The sequence below is a fragment of the Homo sapiens genome, chromosome 5, assembly GCF_000001405.40.
Source record: "Homo sapiens chromosome 5, GRCh38.p14 Primary Assembly".
Taxonomy (NCBI): Eukaryota; Metazoa; Chordata; class Mammalia; order Primates; family Hominidae; genus Homo; species Homo sapiens.
In genome coordinates this window covers 123403620-123420126 of record NC_000005.10, presented here as the reverse complement: position 1 = coordinate 123420126, position 16507 = coordinate 123403620, and the positions used below count along the sequence as shown (strand labels likewise).

At 36.0% G+C, this 16507-nt stretch overlaps 1 protein-coding gene across 10 annotated transcripts in view; it reads left to right on the top strand.

The window, feature by feature from the left end:
- CEP120 (centrosomal protein 120) overlaps nucleotides 1–16507 on the top strand; it is a 78951-nt gene that overhangs the window by 3716 nt on the left and 58728 nt on the right. For 8 of the 10 annotated variants that reach the window (NR_164685.1, NM_001166226.2, NM_153223.4 and 5 more), the window contains 3 exons: nucleotides 1612–1768; nucleotides 4003–4117; nucleotides 7587–7728. Coding sequence is in view for 7 of the 10 variants with exons in the window: in NM_153223.4 (NP_694955.2) it covers nucleotides 1612–1768; nucleotides 4003–4117; nucleotides 7587–7728 (414 nt within the window). In the remaining 3 variants the exon portion in view is untranslated. Of the gene's footprint in view, nucleotides 1–1611; nucleotides 1769–4002; nucleotides 4118–7586; nucleotides 7729–10178; nucleotides 10296–16386; nucleotides 16434–16507 lie in introns of all 10 variants that reach the window. The other 2 variants (NM_001375408.1, NM_001375409.1) reach the window with 2 other exon arrangements.

Here is a 16507-nt window from a genome sequence, read left to right as displayed (position 1 = left end):
AGCTGTGCGATGTGTGTTAATACTCCTAATACAGAGTTTCAATGAGAGCCTCAGGCTTTAACTCACAAGGTTAGCAGTCAAGGTCTTTTTAACAGCTTAATTCCTACACTTCCCCCACAAGTAGCTTGTACCAGGGTGAGTAGCAGCAGGGATTTCTTCATTAATCAATGGATAAAATTCCCCTCAATAAGATCCACCTTAACAGATTTATAAACAAGAGAACTAGTTGACTCAGTGCAAGATTCTTAGTGCTTCTTCGTTGATGTTCTTTAGCTTCCTATTTTCAGTTTTTTTTGGTTTGTTTCTCTTAACTAGATCCTCAGTTTTTTTAGAGCAAGTACTCTGTTTTACTCATTTTGTACCCCACCATCTGATAAAATACCTGACTCTGAATATGTCTTCAGTAAACATTGATGAAATGGGGTTTGGCAGTACAAATGAAAAGTGATGTGTAGATAGAATATTTGAATATTTCCTGATAGTGTACAGTGTTGTCCTTGAGAATAGAATGAAGGAATCCATGTGGCTATTTTTCTTTAGCTAATTTGGAAAGTATTCTGTTTTTTTTTTTTTGTTTTTGTTTTTGTTTTTTTTTGAGATGGAGTCTTGCTCTGTTGCCCAGGCTGGAGTGCAGTGCTCACTGCCACCTCTGCCTCCCGGGTTCAAGCTGTTCTGCCTCAGCCTCCCGAGTAGCTGGGACTACAGGCGCATGCCACCACACCCGGCTAATTTTTTGCATTTTTAGTAGAGACGGGGTTTCACCAGGAAAGTATTCTTAACTGAGTTAACAGAAAAATTAAGCTGCAGGCAAATTTGTTTTTACTAATTTATTTCCCAGCTCTTCAGATGACTGTTCTCTATTAAGTAGTGCAATAGTAGTACCTAAAATTCGTGTAATCACATTAAGTGTTTAATTCCAGATGTTGTTGAGATCATTCCTACTCAAAGTGTGGACCAAGGACAGCAGCATTCACATCACCTTGGATCTTGTTAGAAATGCGGAATCTTAGGCCCACCCTAAATCTACTGAGTCAAAATCTACATTTTAACAGGGTCCCTAGGTGATTCATGTGCACACTAATGTTTGAGAAGCACACATTTATAAATTATAGCTTTCCATTTGATTCATGTTTCTTATGAATTATGGAAGTGAGTGTATATGTGAGCCTGCATTAGTGAGGTAGCTTATGGAATGCATGTCAACCACACTTAACAGATCATTAGTTTTAAAAAAACACATGCTAGGCTGGGCATGGTGGCTCATGCCTGTAATCCCAGCACTTTGGGAGGCCGAGGCAGGTAGATCACCTGAAGTCAGGAGTTCCAACATGGCAAAACCCTGTCTCTACTAAAAATACAAAAATTAGCTGGGTTTGGTGGTGTGCACCTGTAATCCCAGCTACTTGGGAGGCTCAGGTAGGAGAATCGCGTGAACCTGGGAGGCGGAGGTTGCAGTGAGCTGAGATTGCGCTACTGAACTCCAGCCTAAGCAACAGAGTAAGACTCCATCTCAAAAAAAAAAAAAAACCAGCCAAACAAAAAAACACATGGTAAATGATCCTGTTTGATTTTTGTACACTTTTGATTAATCTATATATTCTGTTTCTCCAGGTCGGCATTTCCCCAAACGTCCAAAGCATATGCTTGTAGTGGAAGCAAAGTTTGATGGAGAACAGTTGGCTACTGATCCTGTGGACCACACTGACCAGCCAGAATTTGCTACTGAGTTAGCTTGGGAAATTGACAGGAAAGCGCTTCATCAGCACAGGTGATTATCATTTTCATTTTAGCTTCTTTATTGGTTTCTTATTTTTCAGGCTGTTATAAATAAATACAGTTTGAGTATTTAATACTTGGGACCAGAAGTATTTTCGGATTTTTGGAATATCTGCATAATCAAAGATACCTTGGGGATGGGACCCAAGTCTAAACATGAAATTTATTTGTTTTACATTATACGCATAGTCAAAGGTAGTTTTATATAATATTTTAAATAAATTTTCATAAAATGAAGTATGTTAAATGCTTGTGTGTGGAATTTTCCGTTTGTGGCATTATGTCAGCACTCAAAGTTTTAGAATTTGGAGCATTTCAAATTAGGAATGTTCAACCTATAAATTTTGTATCTGTCATTACGTTTAATAATTATAGTTATTGAGTGTTTTTTTAAATGTGACAGGAAATTTTTAAAGTACTTTGCAACAATAACAGTTAAACATCAGAACAACACTATGAAGTTGTTATTTTTATTTCGCCCATATTATAGATGAGGAAACCGAGGCCTGAGATGTTAAGTATTAGTAACTTGTTTTAAGTCTGTTAGCTTAGTAGTGGTAGAGCCCAGGCAATCCAGCTTCAGAGCCTAAGCTTTTACACTACACTTACACTGAGCTGTTTGGGTTTTTTTTTTTTCCTAATGTGTGAGACAGTAGATATTCTAGAAATACCTTGATGATACCTACTCATTATTAAATATGGTTGGAATTCCTTGTAATTTCTGTTAATTTATTTATTGTATATTTACCTGGCTTGCCAAGGATATATAGAGGGGTATCCAGTGAAAAGTTATGAAAGTAATTCTATCAAGGTTTCTTTCTAATTAATTTATATTTAATTTTAAACAAAACCACTTTATTAGTATATAAAATAGACTTAAAGTTATAGTATATATTTTTTGTGAACTCTGACTAGAAGCAGGCAACAACAATAAAAGCAATACTCTTATTTATTTAAGGATTAAAAATATATTTTCTTCTGGAAAACATGTTATCACTTTAATACTTGCTTGTTCTCAGTACTAAATTAAATCAAAATGGAAAGTTAAAAAAAAGGAAAGCAAGGAAAACTCTATTTACCTCTGTTGCTAGAGTAGTCCATGGATTTATTTGAAGAAGTATTGCATTCTTAGAGAATATCAATGTTGGATTTCCTTTCAGTGGTGTCTATAATGGAGTCCTGCTATGAGCTGTTAGGGCTTCCATTTTGTTAGTGCCAGGTTAGTACCACTCTGATTGTTGTAGGCTGAGAAAATACAGATAAATTGAATTTATAAGTGATGATTTTGTGCTAAGTGCAGTTCTATAATAACTCCACTAGATAAAAGCAGTGGCAAAATCCATTCAGCTTAATGCATGAGCCAGTTGAGGGGTTCCGAACTAAAACAGCCCATGCTAAACAAGCCAATATCATTCTTTCAGAACACTGTTATGTGTTATATTATTAATTTAAATTTTAATTTATTTTATATTTAATTCCTGTTTGTTTTTTAGCTACAAAAGAGCTATAAGCATGTATTTGTATTTGTAATTTTATGTATGTTACAGTATAAGAGAAATAAAATAGGTCCTGAAAATTCATGATAATTTTTTACTTTCAGAAAGTTTTACACATTACAGAAGCTTAAGAAACATTGACCTACATGATGGCTTCTTAGATGAAAGAATGTAAAATATGTTGACATGTTTTGTATAATATTTAGTTGGTGTAGAGGTTAGTAGATATAATTAATAGTTCTTACCTGTTTATTTTTTTTATTTTTATTTTTATTTTTATTTTTGAGATGGAGTCTTGATCTGTCACCCAGGCTGGAGTGTAGTGGCGCGATCTCGGCTCACTGCAACCTCCGCCTCCCAGGTTCACATAATTCCCCTGCCTCAGCCTCCTGAGTATCTGGGATTACAGGCGCGTGGCACCACACCCAGCTATTTTTTTTTGTTTTTTTTAATTTTAGTAGAGATGAGGTTTCACCATGTTGGTCAGGATGGTCTCGATTTCCTGACCTCGTGATCTGCCCTCCTCGAACTCCCAAAGTGCTGGGATTACAGGCGTGAGCCATTGCGCCTGGCCTAGTTCTTGCCTGTTGAAGAGTTTTTTAGACAATGTAAAATAGTTACAGTTTTATCCAACAAAATTATAAGTATCTTGATAATAGGAAATATTTTCAAGGCCAATAGAAAGTTTATTAAGCAAAAACCATTTTATTTATCACATGTTTTGTTATAGGCTACAGCGTACTCCTATCAAACTCCAATGTTTTGCCTTGGATCCTGTAACTTCAGCCAAGGAAACCATAGGTTACATCGTTCTGGATTTAAGAACCGCTCAAGAAACAAAGCAGGTATTGCCCTTTTGATGTTTTGCTAATGATTATGTTAGACAGTCGATTATTTTCAGTAGATAACAGATTGATGAAAAGGACATGAAATACTAGACCTGATCAGTCATAGACTTGAGCCAATATGGCAGTTCTTTTTTTTTTTGAGACGGAGTCTCTGTTATCCAGGCTGGAGTGCAATAGCACAATCTTGGCTCACTGCAACCTCCGCTTCCCAAGTTCAAGCAATTCTCCCTGCCTTAGCCTCCTGAGTAGCTGGGATTACAGGCACTCACCACCACGCCTGGCTAACTTTTGTATTTTTAGTGATGGGGTTTTGCTATGTTGGCCAGGCTGGTTTCAAACTCCTCACCTCAAGTGATCTGCCTGCCTTGGCTTCCCAAAGTGCTGGGATTACAGGTGTGAGCCACTGCACCCAGCCAATATGGCAGTTCTTATGTTTTAGTTTATGAATTAGATTTAGAAAATCTCAACATTTTAGTGATTTCCTTGACCAAGAACTGTCTTGCTCAAAAAGACATCTCTGAACTGACTTGTATCCAAGTTGCTATTACCGGAAGCTTAACATGCCTAGCCCCTGAGCTTTCCTTTTAAAGGTGGTTCATCCTCTTCTAATGTTTCCTGCTTCAGTGAATTGTCAGCATTCCCCTTTCAGTTATACAAGTTAGAAATACAGAAGTCTTCCTTGACATTTTTCCTTTTCCTTCCTCCATAACTACCTGTTCCCAGTTGGGTTTTTTCCCTCCTGATCTGTCTGCTATTCTGCTTTTCACTGCTGCCACCCCAAACTCAGCTGCTATTGTTTCTTACCTTGGCTATCATAATAGCCTCCCTGCTTCCTGCTCCTTGCATTCCTTGCATAGCAGTCAGAGCAAGTGAACTTATTGAAACACAGTTGATGTTATCTAACCAGTACCTCTCTGCCCCCCTACTCCCAAGAGAAAGAACTCAGAATCATCCTGATTCCTGTGATGGTGACTTTTATTATTTAACATGGTGCTGCTTAGGGCTTTTTTTTTTTTTTTTTTTTTTTTTTTTTTTGAGATGGAGTCTTGCTCTGTTGCCCAGGCTGGAGTGTAGTGGCACGATCTCGGCTCACTGCAAGCTCTGACTCCCGGGTTCATGCCATTCTTCCGCCTCAGCCTCCCCAGTAGCTGGGACTACAGGCACCCGCCACCATGCCCAGCTAATTTTTTTTTTTTGAATTTTTAGTAGAGACGGGGTTTCACCGTGTTAGCCAGGATGGTCTCGATCTCCTGACCTCATGAACCACCGGCCTTGGCCTCCCAGAGTGTTGGGATTACAGGCGTGAGCCACCGCGCCCGGCCGCTGCTTAGCGCTTTAAGTATCTTCTGACCTTTTTGTATGTGACCGACTTTAGAAATCTCCCTTGCAATTTTTCTGATTGTCTTGGGTCATAATTTTCTTAAGGGGGGAAAAAAGTTAAACAATTAAAATAATATCTTCTCTTTTATTTAAAACGCCATTCTTGATTTGAATCTTAAATTGGGATTCTGTGAAGAAAAACTTATCTTTTACTAATATTTTTGCTGCTGATAGCAAGGATATTTGCATATGATCAGTCAGCCTAGCCCAAGGTTGGAATAATTTAAAAGAAACTGAAATTTAAAAATGCTTTAAAAGAGGATTTGTTTTCCCCCCATCCTTGGTACTCACTGCCTCTCTGCCACTAGATCTTATTCTGAAAAGGTTTTTCCTTCTTTAGTTTTAGACCCTGGGCTTTGATTGGGCTCTTGATGTTTCTCTTAACCACCTTCTCTCATGTAGCGTGCAAGTGTCTAGAAGACACTTCTGCAGTCAGTTTAGTTGCAGAGAAGGTAAATCCTCTTAGGGGGGTATCTGAGGGATGAGGTCATGCCTCTAAATACTCTTGGCATTCTTTGTCCCCTTGTCCTTGAGAACAGTTTGTCAACATATTTGTAATCAAAGGGAGAAATGGCTCAGTTATTTAAACTAAATGCTGTATTGCTTATTCTCTCCTGTTTGTCAGCATAAATATTTGTAATTGGATAGTACAATATTTGAAGTTCAAAATAAATTGATTCTCTGTAAATAAATATAAACAGAAAAAAATCCAGATTTATTTTTCTGAGTTATATAACAGAAAAAGTCATCAATTCTCTGAGTAGCTGGAAATCTTTCTTTCAGGCTTATATTCAAAATTATAACATATTTGTTATAAGAAATACATCAACAAACTGTATTATGCATTTTTATCTTTAAAAAATTAGGTTGTTGATTTTTATTTAAAGCTTTGGCCTACTTAATTCTATTTTACTTATCAAACATGACTTGAATATAAAATAGCAGTATAGGCACCATTTATTATGTCTTTATATAACAAAGACAATATAAGCACCATCTACTATATCTTTATATAACAAATGATCAGAGTAAAAAATGCTGTTTCCAAGTATTGAAATGGTATTCCCACTGATCAGTGGTTCCTGCCCTAATAATATATGTAGGCATGATATTTTTCAGGCTATCTTGAGTACTAGAATTTCTGAGGTTGGTCTAGTGGGGATATTCAAATAATTTAGGATGCTTCATTCTGTAAGAAGGCTTTTGTTCGAGTATCAGTCAAGTACCTGGTTCATAATCCACCACTCTTCCATTAGGCCTTGACTTTAGTATTTTGTTAATGCTTTTTATTAACACTAATAAGATTTTCTTTTTTCTTTTTCTTATTTATTTATTATTATTATTATTTTTTTTTGCGACAGGGCTTCACTCCTGTTGCTCAGGCTGGAGTGCAGTGGTGTGATCATGGCTCACTGCAGCTTTGATTTATCGGGCTCAAGCAATCCTCCCATCTCAGCCTCCCAGGTAGCTGGGATTACAGGCGTGCACCACCATGCCTAGCTAATTTTTCGTATTTTTAGTAGAGACAGACGGGGTTTCACCATGTTGCCCAGGCTGGTCTTGAACTCCTGGACTCAAGTGATCTGCCCACCTTGGCCTTCCAAAGTGTTGGGATTACAGGCATGAGCCACCCATCCAAGATTTTCCTATGCTTATTGATATAAGCAGAACGAAGCAGGTCTATGGCAGAAAGAAAAGGTATAATTTAAAAACGTGAGAAGATAGAGGTTAGGGAATTAGAAAACTGGTAGTTTTTTTGTTGTTTAAGGGATGAAGTGAGATTGAGGGTATAAGACGAAAGGTAGAAAGAAATATATTATGCTTTCTTCCTTTTAATATTTTGCCTCTTGAAGCATAGGAAGACAAGCAAAGAAAACAATTTAAATTTCTACGTAGTTTTTCTAGAGGGAAATTCAGTTGATGGCTTCCTAAGCAGGATTGATTTGTTTTGAGAAAAATGTGAAAAAAAAATTGTTTATAAAGTACTGAAAAGCTACAATAAATTTATTTAGAACTGTATAGCATTTCCCAATATGTTTTTTCCCTTATTAACTATTAGGTGTTTTGTTATTTTATTATTCTCTAGGCACCAAAATGGTACCAGTTGCTGAGTAATAAATACACCAAATTCAAGTCTGAGATACAGATAAGTATTGCTTTGGAAACCGATACAAAGCCACCAGTGGATAGCTTTAAAGCAAAGGGGGCTCCCCCTCGAGATGGAAAAGGTTTGTGCATCATCTCTAAAAACATTCTCTGAGAAGTTCCATCTTTGGACTAGAGCTTTAGGAAGCGGGAGTGTTATAGGGACATATATGCAGGGTGTAAACTGTTCATCAGACAAATATTGTGACATTGTTACACATGCAGCACTTGTTGCTCTTAGCTCTTGTTTGCAAATCTTAGAAATAGGAAAATTTATTCTTTATTTGGTATGTAATAGAACAAAGCACAATTTTGTATAGTTTTAAAAATTTGCCACTTAGGACAGTTTTCTTCCTAGGATGAGTACAGGAAAGCCCAAAATGATCATGCTGTTCTCTATTTATTAACTCAACTGTAGGTTAACAAAACCTTTATATTTTTTCTTTTTTAATTAATAAACTTTATTTTTTAGAGCAGTTTTAGTTTCACAGTAAAATTGAGCAGAGAGAAATGAGAGTTCTCCTATATACTCCCTGTCCCCACATACTTGCAGCCTCTCTTGCTGTCAACATGCCACACCAGAGTGGTGATACTACAATGCATGAACATATCATATCATTCATATCAGTGTCACCCAAGGTCTATAGTTTACATTAGGTTTCTCTCTTGGTGTTGGACATTCTATGGGTTTTGACAAATGTAAATGACTTGTAGTATCCACTATTGTAGTATCATACAGAATAGTTTCACCACCCTAAAAATCATCTGTGCTCCACCTATTCATTCCTCCCTCCTCCCATCCCCTTGGCAGCTATTGATCTTTTTTACTGTCTCCATAGTTTTGCCTTTTCCTGAATGTCATATAGTTGGAATAATATAGTATGTAGCCTTTTCCAGATTGGTTTCTTTCCCTTAGTCATAAGTGCATGTAAGTTACTTCATGTCTTTGCATGGCTTGATAGCTCATTTCTTTTGAGTGCTTATAGTCAATTGTCTGGATGTATCACAGTTTATTTTTTCACTCAGCTCCTAAGGGACATCTTGGTTGCTTCTAACTTTTGGCAATTATAAATAAAGGTACTGTAAACTGCTGTAAACATCTGTGTGCAGGTTCTTATGTGGACAGAAGTTTTCAGTTCATTTGGGTAAATATCCAGGATTGCAGTCATTGGATCATGTGGTAAGAGTATGTTTAGTTCTGTAAGAAATATCCACACTGCCTTCCAAAGTGGCCGTGCTATTTGGCATTCCCACTAGCAATGAATGAGAATTTCTGTTGCTCCATATTCTTACCAGAATTTGGTGGTGTTAGTGTTTTGGATTTTGGCCATTCTACTAGGTATATCATAGTATCTCATTGTTGTTTTAATTTGCAATTCCTCAATGACATAGGATGTTGAGCATGTTTGCATATGCTTACCTACCATGTGTGTATCTTCTTTGAGGTGTCTGCTCAGGTCTTGGGCCCATTTTTAAATTGGGTTGTTCATTTTCTTGTTGAATTTTAAGAGTTCTTTGTATATTTTGGATAATAGTTCTTTATCAGATATGTATTTTACAAATATGTTTTCCCAGTATGTGGCTTATCTTCTCATTCTCTTGACATTGTCTTTCCCAGAGCAGAAGTTTTAAATTTTAATGAAGTCCGGCTTATGAGTTGTTGCATTCATGGATTGTGCCTTTGTAGTTGTATCTGAAAAATTGTTGCCACCACCCAAGGCCATCTAGGTTTCTCCTTTGTTATCTTCTAGGACTTTTATAGTTTTGCAGTTTACATTTAGGTCTGTAATCCATTCTGAGTTAATTTTTGGAAAGGTTGTAAGGTCTGTGTCTAGACTCACTTTTTGCATGTAGATGTCCAGTTGTTCCAGCACCATTTGTTGAAAAGACTTTCTTTGCTCCATTGCATTGCCTTTGCTCCTTTGTCAAAGATCAGTTGACTTTACTTATGTGAGTCTATTTCTGGTCTCTTTATTATGCTCCATTGATCTATTTGTCTATTTGTTTGTCAATGCAACACTGTTTTGATTACTGTAGCTTCAAGTAAGACTTGAAGTCAGTGTCAGTCCTCTGACTCTATTCTTTTTCTTCAATATTGAATTGGCTGTTCTGGTTCTTTTGCTTCTCCATATAAACTTAAGAATTTGTCAGTATCTACAAAATAATTTGCTGGGATTTTTATTGGGATTGTATTGAATCTGTAGATCAAATTAGGAAGAACTGACATCTTGCCAATATTGAGTCTTCTGTGAACATGCACTATCTCCATTTATTTAGTTCTTTGATTTCTTTTATCAGAGTTTTATAGTTTTCTTCATATAGATCTTACATATTTTGTTAGATTTATATACGAATTCTTTATTTTTGGGGGTGTTCATGTAAATTTTATTTGTTCGTTGCTGGCATATAAGAAAGCTGTTGACTTGTGTATTAACTTTGTATTTTATAACCTTGCTATAATCACTTGTGTGTGTGTGTGTGTGTGTGTGGTTTTTTTTTTTTTTTTTTTTGCTTGTTTTGTTTTTTGAGACAGGATCTCACTCTGTCACCCAGGCTGGAGTGCAGTGGTGCGATCTTGGCTTACCACAGCCCCGACTCCCAGGTTCAAGCGATTCTCCTGCCTCAGCCTCCTGAGTAGCTGGGACTACAGGTATATGCCACCATGCCTGGCTAATTTTTGTATTTTAGTAGAGAGAGGGTTTCACTACATTGGCCAGGCCATTCTCAAACTACTGACCTCAGGTGATCCGCCTGCCTCGGCCTCCCAAAGTGCTGGGCTTACAGGCATGAGCCACCACACCTGGCCTTTTTTAAAATTCTTTTTGTTGTTGTTGATTCTTTCCACATATTTTTTATGTAATCATGTCCTCTGTGAACAAAGACAATTATATTTCTTCTTTCCTCATCTGTATACTCTTTATTTCCTTTTCTTTTGCATTAGTAAGGCTCTAAGTATGATGTTGAAAAGGAGTGGTGAGAAGGGACATCCTTGTCTTGTACCTGATGAATTATATTTCTTCTTTCCTAATCTGTATACTTTTTATTTCCTTTTCTTTTCCATTAGTAAGGCTCTAAGTATGATGTTGAAAAGAAGTGGTGAGAGGGGACATCCTTGTCTTGTACCTGATCTTGAATGCTTCAGGTTTTTCACCATTAAGTATAATGTTAGCTGTAGGTTTTTATATATTCTTTATTAAGTTGAGGAAGTTTCCTTCTAATTCTGGTTTATTGAGAGTTTTTATCATTAATAGATAATGGATTTTGTCAAATACTTTTTCTGCATCTATTGATAAGATTATGTGATTTTTTTTTCTTCATTAGGCTGTTGATGTGATGGATTACATTAATTGATTTTTGAATGTTGAACCAGACTTGCATACCTGGGATAAATCCCACTTGATCATGGTGTATAATTATTTTTCTTTCTAAAAACCTTTTGTAGAGATGCAGTCTCCCTATGTTGCCAAGACTGGTCTCGAACTCCTGGGCTCAAGTGATCCTCCCACCTCAGCCTCACAAAGTGCTGGAATTACAGGTGTGAGCCACCATGCCCGGCCTATTATTCTTTTTATACACTGATGGATTTGATTTGCTAATATTTTGTTGAAGATATTTGCATTTGTGTTCATGAGAGATATTGGTCTGTATTTTTTGTTTGTTTTCTTTTCTTTATTGTAATGTCTTTGATTTTGGTATTAGGATGATGCTGGCCTCATAGAATGAGTTAGGAAGTATTCTCTATGTTTCTGTCTTCTGAAAGAGATTATAGAGAATTGGTATAATTTCTTCCTTAAATGTTTGGTGGAATTCACCAGTGATCTCTAGACCTGGTACTTTCTGTTTGGGAAGGTTATTGATTATTGACTCAATTTCTTTAATAGATAATAGGCCTATTCAGATTGTCTATTTACTCTTGTATGAGTTTTGGCATATTGTGTCTTTCAAGGAATTGGTCTATTTCATCTAGATTATCAAATTTGTGGGCCTAGACATCTTCATAGTATTCCTTTATTATTATTTTAATACCGGTAGGCTCTGTAGTGATCCCATCTTTCATTTCTGGTATGGGTAATTTGTATCCTTTCTTTTTTTTTTTTCTTATTGAGCCTGGCTGGAGGCTTATTGATTTTATTTATCTTTTCAGAGAACCAGCTTTTGATTTTGTTAATTGTTCTCTATTGATTTCCTGTCTTCAGTTCTATTGATTTGCTGTAATTTTTATTATTATCTTCTGCTTACTTGGACCTAATTTGCTCCTTTTCTGGTTTCCTAAGGTGGAAGCTTAGATGTTTGATTTTAGATCTTCTCTTCTAACAGACATATGCATTTAATGCTATAAATCTTTCTCTAAGCACTGCTTTCATTGCATGTCACAATTTCTGTGCCCAGCGAAATTATCCTTCAAAAGTGAAGGAGAAATAAAAACTCTCAGACAAATAAAAATTGCATCTCACAATTTTTGTTGTGTTTTCATTTTCATTTAGTTCAAGATATTTTAAATTTCTCTTGAGATTTTTTTTTAACCCATGTGTTATTTAGAAGTATATTGTTTAATCTCAAAGTATTTTGGGATTTTCCAGCTATCTCTGTTACTGATTTCTAGTTTATGTAGCCTGACAGCAGACACGGTTCTGTTCTTAAATGTGTTAAGGTGTGTTTTATGGCCCAGAATTGCTCTGTCTTGGTGAACTTTCTACGTAAGCTTGAGAAGAATGTGTATTCTGCTGTTGTTGTTTGAAGTGGTCTATAGATATCCATTGCATCCAGTTGATTGATAATGTTGAGTTCAGTTATGTCAATGATTTTCTGCCTGCTGGATCTGTCCATTTCTGATAGTGTGTGTTAAAGTCTCCAAGTTGGATTCAACTATTTCTCCTTGCAGCTCTGTTAGTTTTTGCTGCATGTATTTTGATACTCTGTTAGGTGCATTCACGTTAAAAATTATTTTGTCTTTTTGCAGAATTGACTCCTTTATCATCATGTAATATTCCTCCTTTCCCTGTGAACTTTCTTTGGTCTGAAGTCTGTTCTGTCTGAAATTAATATAACTACTACCATTTTCTTTTGATTAGTATAGCTTTTAATCTATATTTGTTTTTATATTTAAAGTGGGTTTCTTATAGATAACAACATATAGTTGGATCTTGTTTTTTGGTCCACTCTGACAATCTGTTTTTTAACTGGTGCATTTAAACTATTGATGTTCAAGGTGATTATTAATATAGTTGCATGAATAACCTTATTAGTGTTTTATATTTGTTTCTCTTGTTTCTTATTCCTGTTTTTGTCTGTAACTCTTTTCCCACATTTGTGGTTTTAATTTTCTCTTTCTTGCATATCAGTTATACTTTTTTGTTTTTTGTTTTTTTTTTTTTTACTTTTTTAGTGGTTGCCCTAGAGTTTGCACTATACATTTACAAATTTCAAATAACAGTATACTGCTTTTACTTTGAAGGTCCAGCTTCAAATAACACTATACTGCTTCACAGGTTGTTTTAGGTATTTTAAAATAAAATATTACTAATCCCTCCTTCTTGTCCCTTGTATCATTGCTTTCATTTCAGTTATACCTCAGCATACACATGTGCATGCGTGCACACACACACATAATAATTGAAGAACCTTTTATCTGTTAGATCAATTAAGAATAAAAAATAAAAGTTTTTATTTTACTTTCATTTATTCTCTGATGTTCATTTCTTTGTGTAGATCTGAGCTTCTTACCCATGCCATTTTTCTTGTCTGTGAAGAACTTTTTAATATTTCTTGCACACAGGTCTACTGGCAACAAATGCCCTCAATTTTTATTTGTCTGAGAGTTTTTATTTCTCCTTCACTTTTGAAGGATAATTTTACTGGGCACAGAATTCTAGGGTGGTGGTTTTTTTTTTTTTTCTCAACATTGTAAATACTTCACTCTACCCTTCTTGCTTGCATGGCTTCTGAGAAATTGGATGTAATTCTTATCTTTGGTCCCTTAGAGGTAAGATTTTTTTTTTCCCGTTTGGCTTCTTTCAGTATTTTTTCTTTAGCTTTGATTTTCTGATGTTTTAATATGGGATGCCTAGCAGCAAGTTTTTTTTTTTTTGGCATTTATCCTGCTTAGTGTTCTCTGAGCTTCCTGAATCTGTGGTTTGGTGTGTGACATTAATTGGGGGAAATTCTCAGTAATTATTGCTTCAAATATTTCTTCTGTTCCTTTCTCTCTTTTTTCTTCTGGTATTCCCAGTCTGTGTTTATTACACCGTTTTTAGTTATCTCACAGTTCTGAGATGTTCTGTTCTGTTCTGTGGTTTTTTTTTTCCCCCAGTCTTTTTTCTCTTGATCTTCCAGTTTTGGAAACTCCTATTGTCATACTAAGCTCAGAGATTCTTTCCTCAGCCTGTGTCCCACCTACTAATGAACCAATTCTCATAGTCATTCATTTCTGTTTTAGTATTTTTGTCTCTAGCATTTCTTTTTTATTCTTTCTTACACTTTAGCATCTTTCTGCTCCCATTATCTCTCTGTTCTTGTATGCTGTCTACTTTTTTCATTAAAGCCTTATAAGGCATATTAATCATAGTTAAAAATTTTTTCTGTTTTGATAATTCCAACATTCCTGCCATATCTGACTTTAGTTCTGATGCTTGTTTAGTCTCTTCAAACTGTATTTTTTTTTTCCTTTTAGTATGCCTTGCAATTTTTTGTTGTAAGCCGGACATGATGTATGGGACAAAAGGAACTGCTGTAAATAGGCCTTAGTAATGTAGTGGTCAGGAGTCAGGAAGGGGAAGCATTCTATAGCCTTATGGTTAGGTCTCAGTCTTTTACTGAGCCTGTGCCCCTTGGATCTGAACTTCACCATTGCTTCTCAGTTTTTTCTTCCCTTAGATGGGGCAGAGTGTCTGGAGGGGCTGGAGTTGTGTATTCCCTTCCCTTGCATGGAAGACCAGAGGCAGCTGGAGTTGGGTATTTCTCTTCTCCCTGGTCAGTTAGGCTCTGATAGAACCTCAACAGGTTAGGCTCTGGCAAATAGTTTCTCCGAGGGCAGGCCTTGTTAACAAGAACAGAATTGTCTGGCATGTTTCAGAATGGTTTCTTTTCTCTTCCCTATGCCAGAAGAATGAGGGAACTTTTCTCTGATATTCACTGTGAGGACCTGGTAGAGCTCCCTGGAGGTAAAAGTCACGAAAGTGTGGGGCTGCCTTGTGACTGGGTCCCCTGGAGTTTTTATCTCTCAGGCTGGTTCACACCAAGCTACTAGCAGTTCATCCCAGTTCACGTTTTCCTACTTACTGCATTGGCTCTTTCTGTTCCAAAATTGTGATTCTCCGTAGCTCCCTGTCTGTTTCCTTAGTTTTGGGGAGCAGCAGTTTTCCTGAGACCTCACTTCTCTGACAGATCTATGGAGAGTTGTTAATTTTTAGTTTGTTCAACTTTTTATTTGCTATTAGGGCTAACTGAAGATTTCTAAGCTCTATGTGCCAGACTGCATATTTCTTCTTCAATGTTTTACAGTCCCTATTTTCTTTTAGGTAAAATGATGGAGTTGGATGAGATAGTCTCGAAAGTTTTTTCCTACTATAATATTTTGTGATTACATCTCTTCTGTAAACTTTTTCTGTAGAGGAAGAAGGTGTCTTCTGGAAGTGAGAGAAACAAATAGTGAAATTGAAATCATACAATTGATATTCTACTATGCTTCAGTCATGTTGCATGGAATGTCCTAGACTTACATGGAAAACTAATGTTAATAGCGGTGTTTGTATTGGCACATATATTCTTAGTTCAGTGAATTTATAAATAGTTGTCCTAAAAGTTTAATTCTGAGTTGAGAATTACCTTTTGAATTGAGAAGATATTATAATTCAGTATTTTAACAATAACTTTTCTTCAGCTTCTTCTCTTACCAGTACTTCTTAACTTCCTTTTGGCCTTTTCGTTCTCTTCCCAACCTTTATATATTAAAGAAATTTCTTCTCATTCTGTACACGCTCTTCCAATGCAATACTATTTATTTACCAGGCATCAGTCATACAATCATACTCTTCTGTGCCGAAGACCCCCACTTAGGCCTTTGGACCCAAATATCACTTGCCTCCTGGACATCTTCTTTTGGATGACCTCTAGGCACCATAAACCCAAGAGATGGTTAAATTGAATTTCAGCGATGTGTTTGCCAAAATGGCATACATTGTACGTAGTGAAGTCAGGATGTGAGCTTGGAAGTCAGATTCTAGAGGCTTTATTATTTTTTCCCTCAGTGAAAAAAAATTTTAAGAATTTGTTTTCGTTGTGAAATAATCTCAGTCTTCCCCAAAAGTTGGAAATATGAAGAAGAATATTTTTCCCTGGACTGTTTGAGAGGAATTTACTACCTAATGCACCTGAATATTTGGAGTATTTATTAGAGCATTCTCCTTCATATCCGTGGTATATCCATCAGAACTGGGAAATTTACATCAATATATTAACACATGTAACCTTATTACATTAATGAAACATTGATACATTGCTACCACCTAATTTCATTTGAGTTTTGTTTTACCAATTGTCTTTTCCCAATAATTTCCTTTATAGGAAAAGGATTTAGTTTAGAATTAGATGTTACATTGAATTGTTATATCTGTGTATTCTGAAATAGTTCCTTGATCTTTCCATGACCTTGAAATTTTGAAGATTGCAGGCCAGTTAATTTGTAGATTGTTTCATGACTTGAGTTTGTCTGATTTTAGATTTAGCTTATGCATCTTTGGCAGAAATATCATCGAACAGATGCCACGTTCTTCCCATTGCATCTTATCAGGTGGTGCACAATTTTGATTTGTCCTATTTCTGATGCTAACTTTGATTACTTGATTAAAGTGTTGTATGTTAGTG